Source organism: Homo sapiens, chromosome 10, assembly GCF_000001405.40.
Source record: "Homo sapiens chromosome 10, GRCh38.p14 Primary Assembly".
In the NCBI taxonomy this organism is placed as follows: Eukaryota; Metazoa; Chordata; class Mammalia; order Primates; family Hominidae; genus Homo; species Homo sapiens.
This window is the reverse complement of record NC_000010.11, coordinates 18750586-18768081: the sequence shown is the minus strand read 5'-3', so window position 1 is coordinate 18768081 and position 17496 is coordinate 18750586. Positions and strand designations below refer to the sequence as shown.

Sequence of the window (17496 nt, the reverse complement as noted above, 5' to 3'; positions counted from 1 at the left end):
ATGATTAAGACATTATGTGTATTTCACCCCCAGTTAAAAATAATAATAAAGTAAAAATAAAAAGAATTCAGTTAGCAAAATTGCTTGGGAAATACAAGATTACACTAAGAAAAACTGATATTTTTATTAAAAGATTTCTTGTTATGCCTGTGACTCTGCAAAAGAGAGACAGTATACATAGTGTTTTTCAACCTTCTTTTGTCCACACAGCATTTAATTGGCAGTGTTTCCGTCTGTGTTACTATTCTGTGGGAAACTTTTGAAAACATTGCCTTGGGGGATATTGGGAAATGGCATTCAATCAGAAAGAGAATTTTAATATCTAAAAATGAATTCATTTTATTAATGGAAGAACTGGTACAACATAGGTAAGTAGAGATAGTCACTAAAATGATGAATGATAGAGTAGTATATTGTATTGAAGCAGCCTTGAAATGCTGAAGAATAAGTTATGAAGGACAAGTTCACATGTATGAGTCCTTTGGGATCCAATTAACTTCCCACCATTCTGTGCCATCTACCATTTTCTAAGTGCCTTCCATATATCTCACAAGATGAGGCACATCACCTATGTTATCTAATTTGATTCAATCCTCCCAACAGCCTCATGAGAATTATTTTATGATCACCATTTTCTGGATGAGGAAACTGATGCTAAAAGAGTTTAGCTACCAAGTTACTCAGTACACAAGTGAGGAACTGATCTCTGCCCCATCTATGGACTCCAGAGGCCAAGTGTTCATTCATTACTTTGTGTACCTGAGATCACAGCAGCACTGACATTAGCAGTCACATGTGAACCAAATTCCTAGGCACAATGAGTAACAAGAACAAAACAATACTTTACATTAATTATTGTTGTGATAGAAAGATAGATGTGCATGAATATTATAAGTATATATACATGTTTCTACTTTATCCAACAACAGTTTTTTGTTTTTTTGTTTTTTGAGACATAGTTTTGCTCTTGTTGCCCAGGCTGGAGTGCAATGGCATGATCTCGGCTCACTGCAACCTCTGCCTCCTGGATTCAAGCAATGCTCCTGTCTCAGCCTCCTGAGTAACTCCTGCCACTATGCCCGGCTAATTTTTTTGGTATTTTTAGTAGAAACAGGGTTTCACCATGTTGGCCAGGCTGATGTCGAACACCTGACCTCAGGTGATCCACCCACCTCGGCCTCCCAAAGTGCTGGGATTACAGGCATGAGCCACTGCGCCCAGCCCCAATGGTGGTTTTAATTACCATAAATAATGTTTATAACACAAAAGATAAATGCTTGAGGTGATAGACATCTCATTTACTTTGATGTGACTATTATACATGGTATGCCTCTATCAAAATATACCATATACCCATATGTATACACTTATTATATACCCACAAAAATTAGAAATGAAGAAAAATAATAGGTGAATATGGTATTTTTTCTTTTTAACATTTCAAAGCTGAAAAATCCATCAATCAAAAGATTCAACACTATACCTAACTCAAAAATTTTGAAGTTTGCAGTTGAAAGTGAGGTAGTCATTTTCCAAGTTAACTCAGCAATTGTAGAACATACCCAGATATAGATAACAGAGAGATTCAAAATGTCTTCATAGGCCGGGCATGGTGGCTAATGCCTGTATCCCAGCACTTTGGGAGGCCAAGACAAGCAGATCCCTTTGAGCCCAGGAGTTCGAGACCAGCCTGGGGAATATGGCAAGACTCCACCTCTATAAAAAATGCAAAAAAATTAGCCCAGCATGGTGATGTGCACCTGTAGTCCCAGCTACTCAGGAGGCTGTGTTGGGAGGATCACCTGAGCCCAGGAGGCAGAGGTTGCAATGAATTGTGTCCACACCACTGCACTAGAACCTGGGTGAGAGAGTAAGGTCCTGTCTCAAAAAAAAAAAAAAAAAATGAGAGAGAGTCTTTAGGCCTTCAAATATTTGCCTTATCTGTCCAATTTCTACTAATCCTTCTGACACTTACTAATAATTGTAGTTCTAGAATGTCTTCCTAGTGGAGGTCTTGCACAGATATGCATTATTTACAAGAAGCTGATGCAAGATTGGCTTGATGCAAGGCTATCACATGGTCTCTTTTTCTCTGATGCTTGTCTTGGTCTATAACTGGACCTGCAGCATCCTAGAACAGGAGAGAGATGGCTTGCATCCAGTGATACCCTAATAGATGGTAAAAGCTGCAACATTGTGTACCAACACTGAAAATCTCATGACCCAAAGATTGAAGAAGAGTGACCCATAAGACTCACTGGAGGTGAAGCTGATGCAGATAACTACAGACAAAACCCTTCTTCCTCTAGTACCAAGAAAGCTGAGGCTGGTGCTGATTCACAACAGAATTTAGGCTAGTTGTAAATCTCATCTAGGATGTAGTCAGACACCTGTAGAGAAACTATCGAGGATTGTTCCATGGACAATAAAATTTGGGGAGAAAAAATAAAACTTCGTATGTCACCTTCCTAATAATGCCTTTTCCTATTTAAAATTATAAAGCCAGTGTCATTTTCCTGGTCTGTTTTTTCTAAATACCACCATCTAATATATATTTTACTTATATTTTTATTGTCTATATCTTCCCTACAGAATGAAAGTTCCATAGAATTTTTTTCTTTTTTGTTCACTGAACCATCCCCATCACAGAGCACAAAAGCATACATAGTAAGCATTCAGTAAATAATTGTGAGTGAAAGAATGAATGGCCATCAATATCATACAGAAATGTTTTATCCAAATGGATGACTATGTTGCATTTGTCTTATGGATTCATAGAACTTACTTCTATTCAGTACAATTTATTGAGCTCCTCAGTTGACCAGTCTGGAAGGATAATCTTACAGGTCCCTTTCTATATCCTGCTAAAAGGTATCAGATAAATAAACAAATTAAAAAATAAGTGAGTACAGTAAATCACAGGGGATTACAAAGCACTCCCAGACAGATGGGTCAGTGTGTCTAAGGGGTTGCCCATTATAATCTGCTGGATCATCATTCACGGTCCCCTGTTGGCCATATGCTGCTGTCTGAATACTCTGGGACGTTCATTTTTCATTTCAGGGATATGATTACTCAGTTTCAGTCTTTGCTGATCGCATTAGTCCATTCTCACACTGCTATAAAGAATTTCCCGAGACTGCGTAATTTACAAAGGAAAGAGGTTTAATTGACTCAGAGTTCAACATGGCTGGGGAGGCCTCAGGAAACTTAACAATCATGGCGGAAGGGGAAGAAGGCATGTCTTACATGGCAGCAGGCAAGAGAGCAAGTGTGTGTTAGCACAGGAAAAACGACCACTTATCAAGCTGTCAGATCTCATGAGAATTCACTCACTATCACAATAGCAGCATGGGGGAAACCACCCCCATAATCCAACCACTTCCCACCAGGTCTCTCCCTAAACTCCTGGGATTATAAATCATGATGAGATTTGGGTGGGGACACAAAGCCTAACCATATCACTGATGCTCTTGCTTTACGAACAGACTTAAAATATTTATATTTCCAGAACAAACTTCTGAGCTTTAGATATATCTTAAACTGTCTATGCAACATCTCCATTTAGATAGTTAATAAGCATCATGAACTCACACATCCCAAATCAAGCTCTTGGTCCCAGCTGCACCCATACCACACTGATTCTTCCACACTGTTCTGTATTTCAGCAAAGGGCAACCTCAGCCTACCAGATGCTCAGCCCAGAAGCATCAGTTGTCCTTGCCGTTTCACTTAACATCACACTATACTGTCTGAAGACCTATCAGCTCGTCCTTCTAAATACATCCTGAATCTGACCACTTCCACCACGTCAAAGCCACAGTTGCCTCTTTTCTATAGAGATTGCTCATAGGCCTCTCTTTTTCTGCTCCTCATCTTGATATTGCCTATTTTCCACACAGCAGAGTCAATCTTTTAAAACAAACCAGGCATGTCCTTCCTCTGTTCAAAACCCTGTAATGGATTCCTGTCTCACCCTGGGTGAAAAAAACAAAATAATCAAAGTGTTCTAAAGCTCCTACACCATCTGCACCACTAGCCGCCCAACCTCCCTGTCTCCTCTCAGACCACTCCTAACCTCAGTCACTCTGCTCCATTCCCATCTGCTTCATCACTTTCCCTGGGCAATGCCCAGAATGCTTCTACAACACCTTGGCACATGTGATTCTTTCACCTGGAGCATCTTTTACCTCTTAATGGCAGGCTGGTTCTGTCCCCTCTTTAGGTCTTGATTCAAATATCTCAAACTTGGAAAGATTTCTCTGACCACCCTATATAAACCAGGTCTTCTTCCGGTGTTTTTAGTTTTATTTTTTACTGTGTGTTTAAAACTGGAAATTGTGTATTGTATTTGCTTGTTTAGTGTCTATGTCACTTCACTAGAAAACAAACTCCATGAGGGTAAGGACTTTGTTCTATTCACCACTTTGTTCCCTAAAATAGTGTCTGACACACACAAAAAGCTCAAAAAATATTTTACATGAGTAAATGAACATAATTACCGCTGTAATTATGCACATGATTTACAATTTGTGTAATTTACAATTTACTTCATTGCTCTAATTAAATCCTTAAAATTGAGTATTATCATTTTGGTCATAAATGGCCACCGCTGGACATAGGTGAACAACAATTATTCTTTTAAATTATAACACAGCCATTAATGGAAAAAGATATCATTTAATTGCTGCTTGTATACTGCCTTACAATTTAAATGAACCCTTGTTCCAGTGATGTCTTGGTCATTTGGACTGTGAAAGAATCTGAAAAAATAGATCAGTGTCTAAAATCTTGCTAGTCATTGTTATTTTCCTCATGATTTAATGACAAACAACAGAACTGACAAGTGCAGCTCTGACTTTACTGATTTGAACCACCGTATCACAGTCATGTTATTGTGTTATAGTACATTTAGGATTAGGTAAATTTATTATTTTTCTGCCCACACTATGATATGCATTGTGAATCAGTAACATCTCCTTAAACTTCTTTCAGCCCAAAGACAGGAAAAAAATATTTATAGCTGTTTCTTTTCATCTAGAAATTTTTCATCTATATAAAACCAAACTGCATAAAAATCATACAATTTTTACACCTTGTCCAGTAACAGATTTTATACTGCAAATGAGGTGTCGCCTCGGACCCTTGGGGTTGTCCATCCTTACTCAAAATCCTTTCTCAATGTCAACCCACCAGATCTGGTCTCCTGAGTTGAGCCTAGGTTCAAACCCTATTGTTGTGTCTTCTCTGTTCAAAATGTATTTTTTATATTTTGGCTGGAACCAACATGCTAACTGATCCAGGCCACAGTATAACTTAGCATGGAAACTTTGAAATGAGAAATCTCTTTTGTCATTACTCCAATCATACCACATAGGGAGTTATTTATTATAACTAAATATTTTGAGCGCCTACTCAGAAAGCAAATAGAAAGTGACTGAGTACAGAATTAGAAAAGTAGTTTAAGCAAATTCCAGCAATCTCCTGAATGAAATAGCAAGTGATCACTAAAAATGATATTCGCGGCCAGGCACAGTGTCTTACGCCTGTAATCCCAACACTTTGGGAGGCTGACGCAGGCAGATCACAAGGTCAGGAGTTCGAGACCAGCCTAGCCAACATAGTGAAACCCTGTCTCCACTAAAAAAAAAAATACAAAAATTAGACGGGCACGGTGGCGTGCACCTGTAATTCCAGCTACTCGGGAGGCTGAGGCAGGACAATCGCTTGAACCCAGGAGTCGGAGGTTGCAGTGAGCCGAGATCACGCCATTGCACTCCAGCCTGTGCAACAGAGCAAGACTGTGTCTCAAAAACAAGCAAACAAAAAATGATATTCATAAAAGGTCATGTAGCAAGATATAAAAATATATATGATTTTAAGTGAAAACTATAGCTATAATATTGCATGTGCCTTATGACTATGTCTGTTAAATATGAATATGGATTTAGATAAGGACTGGAAAAAACATGAAAACTAAATGTAATTTATGTGTCAAAATGTTCACATTTCTTTCATTTAAATTTTTAAATTTTATAGTAATTTTAAATTTGAAATAATTTGATTTTACACACCATCATTATCAGTGTTTCAGTAATGTGTTGTCTTCTAGGTTTCCTTTTGTAATTACTCTATATTCTTCAAAAACATAGTCTTATAATATTTTTTTGCTATTCTAACCTATCGTATTTTATAATACATCACCAAAAGTCTAACTAGTATTTTCCCTACTAAACATGGAATATTTTCAATGAATGAAATAGCAAATAGCATTAATTTTTATTAATTTTAAAATGTACAAAGTTCCTTTGGAGAATTTAAATCATCTTCCTGTTGTAATATTTATTCCATTATAACTTTTCTGTCATTAGCTTTAATGGTATGTTTTTCTGAAAGCAATTCTGATCTCAAATAAGCATTTAAATTATTTATTTATTTTGACTGTGGCATTCACTGCTAAAGAAGAACATAGCTTTATCATTTATAAAAATTATTTATAATTTCTCCATCTTCAGGATTCATCTGAAAATGGCAGATTTAATGCAACTTCTGTCAAACTGTAACTTGAAGAGATATAGAACACAAAAATACTATAAAATCTTAATCCAATGAAGTCATGAATTTCTACCAGTAAAATGTATCCCTCTGCTTGATGTTTTATTTGGGCTGCAAGCAATTTTGATAAGCCCTAAATATCCATTAAAAATGTTGACTCAAAAGTCAAATTTGGACAATTTCCCTTACAGAGAAAACACTTCCAATGTGTCCTTATTTTAGAGCAGTTTAAATACCTTTCCCCAGTACTCCCACTGTAAAATAACAGTTCTGCAAAATGAGGTTCCAGCAAATAATTACATAGAGTTGAAAATAAATCCTGCTCTTTCGAAGAAGCGACCGAAGAGTATGGCTCCTGCTCAATCTCTGATCCATTCTTGATGGAGTGGGAGTGATCATCAATGGTGTTGCTGTGGAAACTACACAGTAATCACATTTCTCAGCAGTAGTGGATCAGTTTCCCAGGAGAACTCCAAGCAGCAAGATACTCTTCTAGCAAAAAGCATTTAGAATGACCCTTCCATTACCTCTGCATGGGCTCACCAGTGGAATGAGGGATGCCCAGGGTGAAGCATCATCAAGTTGATTAATCATAGAGCCACAACCAGCATTTTATGGATACGTGAGAATGGCAAACACTTCCATTCCAACACACTAAAACCCATTCATTATTTCTTCCATTCATTCTTTGGAAACAAAATTTGTTGAGTACCTGCTATATACAGGTCAGGCACTCTTCCAACACTGAGGATATACTTTCAAACAGAAAGCCAACATCTCTGCTATCAGAGAGGCTACCTCTCACTGGAGAAAGGTAGCCATCAGTCAACTGAATCAATAGATAATTAATATTGATAGGTGACTTAAAGCAGGGGTCTCCAACCCCCTGCACCACAGACAAGTACTGGTCCACACAGCAGTTAGGAACAGGGCCACACAGCAGGAGGTGAGAAGTGGGCAAGCGAGCAAAGCTTCATCTGTATTTACAGCTGTTTGGGGCCACTCACATTACTGCTTGAGCTCTGCCTCCTGTCAGATCAGTGGTGGCATTAGATTCTCATAGGAGCATGAACCCTATTGTAACCTGTGCATGCAAGGGATCTGGGTTGCAGGCTCCTTATGAGACTCTAATGCCTGATGATCTGTCACTGCCTCCCCTCACCCCCAGATGGGATGGTCTAGTTGCAGGAAAACAAGCTCAGGGCTCTCATTGATTCTACATTATGGTGAGTCGTATAATTATTTCATTATATGTTACAATGTAATAACACTAGAAATAAAGTACAAATCAATGTAATGCACTTGAATCATCCTGAAACCATCACCCCACCCCTTTCTCTGATCCACTGAAAAATTGTCTTCCAAGAAACTGGTCCCCAAAAAGGTTGGGGACTGCTGCTTTAAAGAAAATAAAGGTGAGTAAGAGGATGAGTAGTGAAAAGGCTGGAAGGTCCCATGTTTTTGATTGAGGGGCAGGGAAGGACTCTGTGATTAGGTGACACTGAGAAAACACCTGGATGAAGTAAGAGTGTGCTAACAAGTTATCAGGTTAAAGTGCTTCAGGCAAAAGAAGCCCTATATGTCACAGCCCCAGAAGACTTAGCATGACTAATGATATCACAAAGAAGCAAATGTGGCTGAAGTACTATGGGGGAGGTGAAGATTGCTAAGAGATGCAGAAAGAGAAATAAGTCAAGTTCATTTCATAGAGGACATTAAATGTCATGGTAAGCACTTCGGTTTCATTCTGAATGAAACTATAAGCCATTGGTGGCCCTAGGGTGAGGAAAGCAAGAGAAGAAACTGAAAAACACAATAAAAACTGATTGCTGTAGACCTAGTAAGAAGTGAAACTGCCTTGAACTAAAAATATATCATTGATAGCTCAAAATTAGGATATATTTTGAAGAAAAAGCTGACAGGATTTTCTGATATTTTGAAATATAGGTTTTAAAAGAAAGGTAGGCAACTTTTGACAGCCAAATCTCTGTACTCAGGATGTATCTACCCAGAGGAAAAATAAAGGTACTTTATACATTATATAGATGGATAGATAGATAGATATCATTATACGAAAAAGACACTTGCACACATGTTTATAGCAGCACAATCAGCAACTGCAAAAACGTGGAACCAACCCAAATTCCCATCAATCAATGAGTAGATAAACTGTGAGATACATATATATGTATATATGTGAGATACGTGAGATATATATAAGAAACTGTGAGATACATATATATATATACATATATATGCGATAGAATACTACTCAGCCTTGAAAAGGAATGAATTAATGGCATTTGCAGCCACCTGGATGAGATTAGAGCCTATTACTCTAAGTGAAGTAACTCAGGAATGGAAAACCAAACATCTTATCTTCTCACTCGTAAGTGGGAGCTAAGCTATGAGGATGTAAAGGCATAAAAATGATGCAATGGACTTTGGGGACTCAGCGGGAAAAGGTTGGAAGAGGGTTAGGATAAAAGGCTACAAATTGTGTGCAGTGTATGCTGCTCGGGTGATGGGTGCATCAAAATCTCACAAAGCACCACTAAAGAACAATCATGTAACCAAACACCACCTGCTCCCCAGTAACCTATGGAAATAAAAAAATATAAATAATAATAATATCTCAACAGGATAAGTACGGATAATTTTAAAAATTAAAGTAATGTATGACTTAGTTTACTCTTTGATAAAGTATCAGCTTTATTGAGATATAATTTACACAAATAAAATGTACCAATTTTGATTTTTAAAAAAAGATGAGATAACCACGTGACTGAATATAGACAGAGAAAAGATCCAAAGGCTATCCCCTGCAAGACTGCAATGTTTGAGGTCATGATAGGCTGAGTAGAATCCAGCAGAGAAAATTGCACAGCAGCCACCCAATGAGGTCCATATAAAACAAAAAGGGAGGGCTATGGTGGTGAATAGACACGGACACAGCTTCAAAGAAGGAAACAACCAATGACGTCAAATGCTGTTACTCAGTCAAGTTAAGATGAGGACTGGGAATTGGCCCCTGAATTTAGCTACACAGAGGACGTGGAACAGAAACACTTGTATTAATAGAAGCATGGAAAGGAGGCCCTAATGGAGTGGGCTCTGTAAAGAAAGAGAAGACAGAAAGTACTTATAACCATTTCAAAGAAGTTTGCTAGTGAGGAAGGTAGAGAAATTAGACAAGAGCTGATGGGAGAAGAGGGGGTCAAGAGAAGGTGTTGGGAATGGGAAAGATTTCAAATAGCCTTTATATTCCAGAGCTGTAAAAAGATTCATCCTTATATTATCCCTTTGCAAATATCAGTTATGTAGCTTCATTATAAAATCAATACGCAGTTTCATTATAAAGTCATTAGAAAGTCAAAGGAAAAAAAGCCAAATAGTTATTTTTCTCAATCTTACCATTTCCATGGCAACCTTTAAAACATACTTTTTAAGGACTCTTAAGGTATACTTCCTTTAAAAACTGTCAGAAAGAAATTTTTTTTTAATTCTTGGTAGAAGATCAGCTAAATATAAAATTTAACATTTGGCTTCCCACAAAAATAGTAAAACTATTCATGAAATGGAAAGTAAAGAAAGAAAATGATTATTACCTATTGCACTTCTCATTTTCAGGAGAGAAAGGCTCCTGCCAGTTACTTTATTGAGAATATTTAACAACATAATGAAAGCTGTTAAATGTAAATATCTTCAATAACAATTTATTTCATGTGGCTTTTTTTAAATAATAATCTTCTAAAAGTAAAAGCTTGGGATATATGTTGTCATTCTTTGAGTGAATATCTATGGCAAATTAATGTCATCTACAATGTCAATCTAACTTTCTAATGAGCTAATACAATATCATTTCATATCTTAGGAAATCCAAAAAATGAATAAGGGTCAGGCACAGTGGCTCACTCCTGTAATCCCAGCACTTTGGGAGGCTGAGGTCCATGGATCACCTGAGGTCAGGAGCTTGAGACCAGCCTGGCCAACATGGTAAAACCCTGTCTTTACTAAAAATACAAAAATTAGCCAGGCATGGTGCTGGGCGCCTGTAGTCCCAGCTACTCACTACTCAGGAGGCTGAGGTAGGAGAATTACTTGAACCTGGAGGCAGAGGTTGTAATCAGCCAAGATCATGCCACACTGCACTCCAGCCTGGGTGACAAGAAAAACACTCTGTCTAAAAAAAAAAAAAAAAAAAAAGAAGAAGAAGAAGAAGAAGAAGTATCAGATTCCAACACATCCTCCACTTTTGGAGAAGTGCCACCTATGGTTTAATGGCTTATAAATCCCAATGGCAAGAAGAACAAGAATCCCCATGAAAATCCAATTGTTTTACTCATGTACATGTATATTCCACCATATTATCAGCGCTTAGAAAAGTGCCTGGCTCAAAGTAACTGCTCAGTAAATATCACCTCCAAAATGTATCAAGAATTATTCATTCACTAAAGCTTTTATTCAGTACTTACTACACACCAGGCACTGTTCTAATACAGCAGTTCAGGAACAGAACACTGGGAATGGGTTGTGTATTATAGATATCTTATATAGAAAATTATATACCAAAAAATTTTTTGCCATCATGGAATATTGTAATACTATCTGATAACATGTAGTCTACAGGATCTTTTGCTTTATTAATAAGCTCCTTCAGATTTATTTGCTTCAACCCTCATCACAGCCTAATTCTTGAACCCGCCTGGATTAGGACTTACCAACTTCCTTGGTGATCATCGGCTCACCCTTCCACACAAATGATTGCTGCTGTGATGTTACCATTTTTGTTGGAAATATCAAAAGTTGTCTCAAAACAGAATATAAGCCAGGTGCAGTGGCTCACACCTGTAATCCCAGCACTTTGGGAGGCCAAGGCAATGAAATCGCTTGAGCCCAGGAGTTCGAAACCAACCTGGACAATATGGCAAAACCCCGTCTCCACAGAAAATACAAAAATTAGCCATGCATGGTGGTGCATGCCTGTGGTCCCAGCTACTCAGGAGGCTGAGGTGGGAGGATCACTTGAGCCTGAGAGGTCAAGGTTGCAGTGAGCCAAGACAGCCCCATTGCAATCCAGCCTGGACGACAGGGCAAGACCCTGTCTCTTAAAAAAAAAAAAGAAAAGAAAAAAATTAAATTAAAAAAATGTTTTACACAAAATATAAAACTCCAGTATTTTCTCTTACAGTAACAACTATTAAACAATGTCCTATTTCATTTTCCTATGGAGAGTATTTTTTTATTTGTTTAGGCTCTACTCTAAAATGATGTAAGTATGCCTCCCATGCTGTTATATTTCTTCAGAAGGCTTATAACACTGGGAAAAAATACTCTACTTAACTTTCTAAAGCCATATAATTTCCTCCCAAATAAAACCAAAAGTGAGAACCCAATAGGATGCAAAGCCTCTTCAATGTAATGATTATACAAAGACAAAAAGAAAGGAGAAACATCTGTAGCAGTTTGCTATGTGGTGATGGTGACGGCTAAGGTCAGGATTCCAAAAGAAGTTTCTTATTTCAGGGTACTTCGCTTGTGCTGGGAAAGCCAGAGGAAGAATGAGAACCCAGCACAGAAGCTGAGAAAGGATGAGGCGGCTATGAGAAGACTGTTATTTACACTCCCAGAACAAGGTTATTTCTTAGTCCAGTGAAGCTAAGAACACCCACAAAAATGAAATATCATCAATGCCCAGAATTTAGTCAAGTATATTTTTATCGAGTTCAACTACTCAATGTGAAATGAACTCACAGTGGGGTTATAATCCAGGCTCAGACACTTTAGATCACCAATTTCCCCAGGGCTAAGAAAGGGCATGGTTTTTATACCATGATGTTTTACAGCAGAAGATGTTTTAAATGTGCAATTTCTGGTAAACTTGGGCTTTGAGATTTCTTCCCTATTAATATGTAGATATGGTTAACGAGAAAGTGTTACTAAGAAAGAGGGTCAGGTGTGGTGGTTCATGCCTCTAACCCCAGCACTTTGGGAGGCCAAAGTGGGAGGATCACATGAGGTCAGGAGTTCGAGACCATCCTGGCCAACATGGTGAAACCCTGTCTCTACTACAAACACAAAATTTAGCCAGGTACGGTGGTGCATGCCTGTAATCCCAACTACTCGGGAGGCTGAGGCAGGAGAATCACATGAGGTCAGGAGTTTGAGACCAACTTGGCCAACATGCTGAAACCCCATCTCTACTAAAAATACAAAAATTAGCTGGGCATGGTGGTATGCACCTGTAATCCCAGCTACTTGGGAGGCTGAAGCAGAAGAATCCGTTGAACCCAGGAGACGGAGGTTGCAGTGAGCCAAGATCACACCACTGTACTCCCACCTAAGTGACAGAGCAAGACTCTATCTCAAAAAAAAAAAAGAAAAAGAAAAGAAAAGAAAGAAAGTGTTATTAAGAAACAGATTTTATCACTAAAAAGAAAAAAAGCAAAAATTTTTCTGGATTTTATACTATCTCTCAGGATAAGCATATTATGTCACTTAAAAACTGATGGATGGTCTTGATTCCTTAATACCTAATTGGTCAAAGCCTAGTTACTCATCAGCCCCATACCCATGACATAAGCACACACATACACAAGCCACAACTTAGAATATCCAATATCACATTACTGCTAAATTTTAAAATGCAGAACATTTAGGAACAATAAAAACTAAAAGACAATCTTTTGGAAATCATTCAATTCAGATTTAGAAAGTTAATATAAGCATGAATGTCTTCTTGCCAGAGAAGCAATCCTATTCAGCATTATTTTCAAGGCCCTCAAGTACTATTGTCACTCGATTATGGGGATGACTGGAACGGTCCAGTGACAGATAGGCACTGACTCGACTGCTTTTCTCTGCATATGAGTCATGTTTGTGTGCTTGTAGTACCTTACAATGTGAAGATCATATTTAATAAATACTTTTTAAATTGCACAGAATAAAGTCAGTTGTGACATACACCATTTGTAGATGATGAAGCTTGTTTGAGAAAGGCTAAATAGGTCTGACGAATTAGGATCAAATTCAAAACCAAACCATTTGTCAACATTTAGTCATGTAAATGTCCATGTCTTTTTTTTTTGTTCACGAAATAATATCTTCACAATAAACTGCTGGAGATTCAAACTTTAAAGACCTTGCTCTAATGGCCATGGAAAGTATTAGAAACAGTTTCTACATGGATGGAGAAGTATAATACTAAATTTAAGCCAAAGCCAATAATCCCATGATCTCTAAGTTCTAAAGGGTAGCCACATTTGGACAGAGTTCTTTCCACTACCATTTAGAGACAGGCAAGCAATTTAGATTATATCTTCATGACTGATTAGATTTGTCCATATGAGCCCTTGTTGAATATCTTTTTTTCAAACAGAATTATACACTTTTCATTGTAGTTGTTTTGGTTATGTACGTTATTTCTTTTCTCATTGTTAATATTATGTTAATAAGTATTGTAAATTTTTAAGATATTTGTATCCATTAACTACTGATGAGTAACAAACTACTCCAGAACTTTGAATCTATGGAATTTTGAGAAGTTCTGCTTATCTGGACCAAGCACCACTGATCTGTGGACTTGCCCATGCTTCTTTCATCAGCTGGCAGGTCAGCTAGGGACTGAATGATCTAATGTCCTCAGCTGGGGTAACTTGATGGTGTTTTGTCTTCTAGCAGGCTAGCCTGAGCTTGGGGCTTGTTCTCCTCAGCAGCATCGCATAATGAGGAGTGTGTCCTATAACTTCAGGCTCCCCCACAGAAAGAGAGAGAGCCATCAGTCTCTTCCTTTGATGTTGTTTGGCTATGTCCCCACCCATGGTGAAGTGGCGTCATTGTGTGCGGTAAATACCCGAGGTTCGTCATCTCACGCCAAGGAAATCAAGCACAGGGACACACAAGAAGTGAGTTTAAGAGCAGAGGATTAGCAGGTGAGAGAAAAGAGAAAAGCTCTCTCTCCTGCAGAGAGAGACGGGTTCCCAAGTCGGTCTTCCTGTTCCATGGTTGTATGGGGTTTTATAGGCGGGCTTGAGGAGGCAGTGTCTGATTTACATAGGGTCCAAAAGATTAGTCAGACCAGGTGTTCCATTTACATAGCACACAAAGAAGCTAGCCACCCCATCCCAATCTTTTATTATGCCAGCGGATTCTCTACCTGGTCAGTGCCATTCTGCCTGCCTCTTTACTGTACACGTGGTTGATAAAGAAAAGGGAAGATGCAGCCACCATGGTGAACATGCCTGGCCCCCAGGTAGCCTTTTCCTATTGACACAGCTGCTGGCATTTACCAGTGCAAGCTTCTAGCTTGCTTTTCCATTTCTGCAGCTTGATTTTTCAGTCTGCTCTTTGTTAGAAAAGAAACGATTTAGGGGCTGCTTTTTGTTAAAAAGGTAGCCTTCCTGAGGATCTCTTACCCTTACTAACTGCTTAAATAATTTCTTTTTAGCTCCTGTATCAAAATCTCATCTTGAATTGTAGCTCCCATAATCCCCACATGTCCCCTTGTTGAATATCTTAGGTCAGGTAGATTAGATTTATCCATATGAGCCCTTTTTAAATATCTTATTGTTATATATAAAGTTTCAGTGCCACAAAAGAAACAGCACTCGAATATAAAATTTTCTTTTTAATTCTCAGCAAGGCAAGGTACTTCTATAGAAGGGTACGCCCTTACAGATGGAGCAACGGTGAGCGCACACTTGGACAAGGGAGGGGAAAGGGTTCTTATCCCTGATGCACGTGGCCCCTGCTGCTGTGTCATTCCCCTATTGGCTAGAGTTAGACCACACAGGCTAAACTAATTCAGATTGGCTAATTTAAAGACAGTGACAGGGTGAGTGGTTTGGCTGGAAAAATGGTTATGACAGAGCAAGTAATGGGTCAGGGTGGAGCAGGTAATCAGAATGAGTCAGGGTGGAGCAGGTAATCGGAATGAGTCAGGATGGAGCAGGTAATCGGAATGAGTTAGGTTGCAGCAGGTGATTGAAATGAGTCAAGGTAGAGCAGGTAATCAAAAAATGTTGCTTTATGAGGAAGTTAAGTTTAAAAGTAGAAGGCAAAGAACTGAACACACTAACATATTGATTATTTGAAAAGAAATTTAGAACTCATATCTAACGTTACTTTAGATCAGGTATTCATTTCTGTTGTGGGTATCAGAATAGCCTCTCACCTGAGTTCCAGGCCACTTGCCCTTCAGTCTTCCTGCACTCTTCACCAAGTCTATTTTTCATACATATACACCTAGACTCAGCATAATCCTACTAAGGACTGCAAAGTTTCTCCACTGCCAGCAGCATGAAATCCAAATTTGTTATAGTGCTAGACACTTTTGGACTAATTTAGTATTTCAACCTAATTTCCCCATTCTGAAATATAGGCACACATATTTATTTCCAGTTTCCTCACATTTCTCAGTTGTTTCCCAAATGTCACAATACTCCTGCTTTCAAGCCTTTGTTTGTGACATTTTTCTCCCTAGAAAGGCTCTCTCCTCAAAACCTAGAAGACACTGTCTCGTTCTTCAATGCCCAGATAAACATTGTGCCCATTGAGGTATCTGACGGATTCTAGGCAGAGACAAATCAGTCTTTCCTTTGTTTCTATGACTCTTGACATCTTTCTCTTGTAGTGATACATTACAGTTGTCTCTCTCTCTCTTCCTAGCTTGATTTTTAAGTTCTTGAGAATAAAGAATTCATTCACTTGACAAGTCATTATTATACAAGTTTGTAATCCTATTACTATAATTATTATTTAGTACCTACTAAATGACAGGTACTATTCCTAGGGTAGAGGATACAGTGGTGAACACAACAAACAAAATCCCTACCTTGTTGGAGCTCACATTCTAGTCTGAGGAGAAAAACGATACACAAAATAAATAAATCATATGACAGAACATGATAATGCCTAGAAAAAATTAAGCAGAGAAGCAGGATAACAATTACTGAGAGTGGCCAGGTGTGGTGGCTCACACTTGTAATCCCAGCACTTGGGGAGGCCAAGGCCAGTGGATCACTTGAGGTCAGGAGTTCAAGACCAGCCTGACCAACATAGTGCAACTCCGTCTCTACTAAAAATACAAAATTAGCCAGGTGTGGTGGTGCATGCCTATACTCCCAGCTACTTGGGAGGCTGAGGCAGGAGAATAGCTTGAAGCCAGGAGGCGGAGGTTGCAGTGAGCCAAGAACGCACCATTGCACTCCAGCCTGGGCAACAAGAGCAAAACTCCATCTCAAAAAAAAAAAAGAATGACTGAGAGTGCTGGTTGCAATTTTAACTTGGGTGAACAGACATGAACTCACTGAGAAGTGGTATTTGAACCAAGATATGAAGATAGTGAGGCAGAAAGCCATGCAGCTATCTAGAAGAAACATACTACAGGGAGCAGAAACAGCCAGTGTACAGGCCCTGAGGTGGGAGCATGCCTGGCACATTCAAAGACCATTGTAGAAGCCAGCGTGTAAAACAAACAAACCAAAAAACAACCAGATTCTGTCATTTGCAACAACATGGATAGAGCAGAAGATCATTATGTTAAGTGAAATAAGCCAGGCACAGAAAGACAAACATCACATGTTCCCACTTACTTGTGGGATCTAAAAATCAAAACAATCGAAGTCATGGAGCTAGAGAGTAGAATGATGGTTACCAGAGGCTAGGAAGGGTAGTGGGAGGGTGGGGAACAGCTGGGGATGGTTAATGAGTACAAAAAAAAAAATAGAAAGAATGAATAAAACCTATGATTTGATAGCAAAACAGGGTGACTATAGTCAATAATAATTTAATTGTACATTTTAAAATAATGAAGAGTATAATTGGATTGTTCATAACTCAAAGGATAAATGCTTAAGGGGATGGATACCCCATTTTCCATGATATGACTGTTACACATTGCATGCCTGTATCAAAACAGCTCATGGATCCCATAAATATATA

The 17496-nt window shown here is 38.5% G+C and overlaps 1 long non-coding RNA gene across 2 annotated transcripts in view, besides 1 other annotated feature; it reads right to left on the bottom strand.

Moving 5' to 3' along the window:
- Window positions 1–17496, bottom strand: part of LOC105376440 (uncharacterized) — a 126250-nt gene that overhangs the window by 68462 nt on the left and 40292 nt on the right. The gene's annotated exons all lie outside the window — the stretch shown is intronic.
- Window positions 14623–15822: an enhancer, noted in NCBI's record as "BRD4-independent group 4 enhancer chr10:19041189-19042388 (GRCh37/hg19 assembly coordinates)". NCBI's record gives its function as "activates an origin of replication core promoter dependent on BRD2, P300/CBP, MED14 and CDK7 cofactors, and independent of BRD4, by STARR-seq in HCT116 cells {active_cell/tissue: HCT116}" and the evidence as "EXISTENCE:reporter gene assay evidence [ECO:0000049][PMID:35650434]".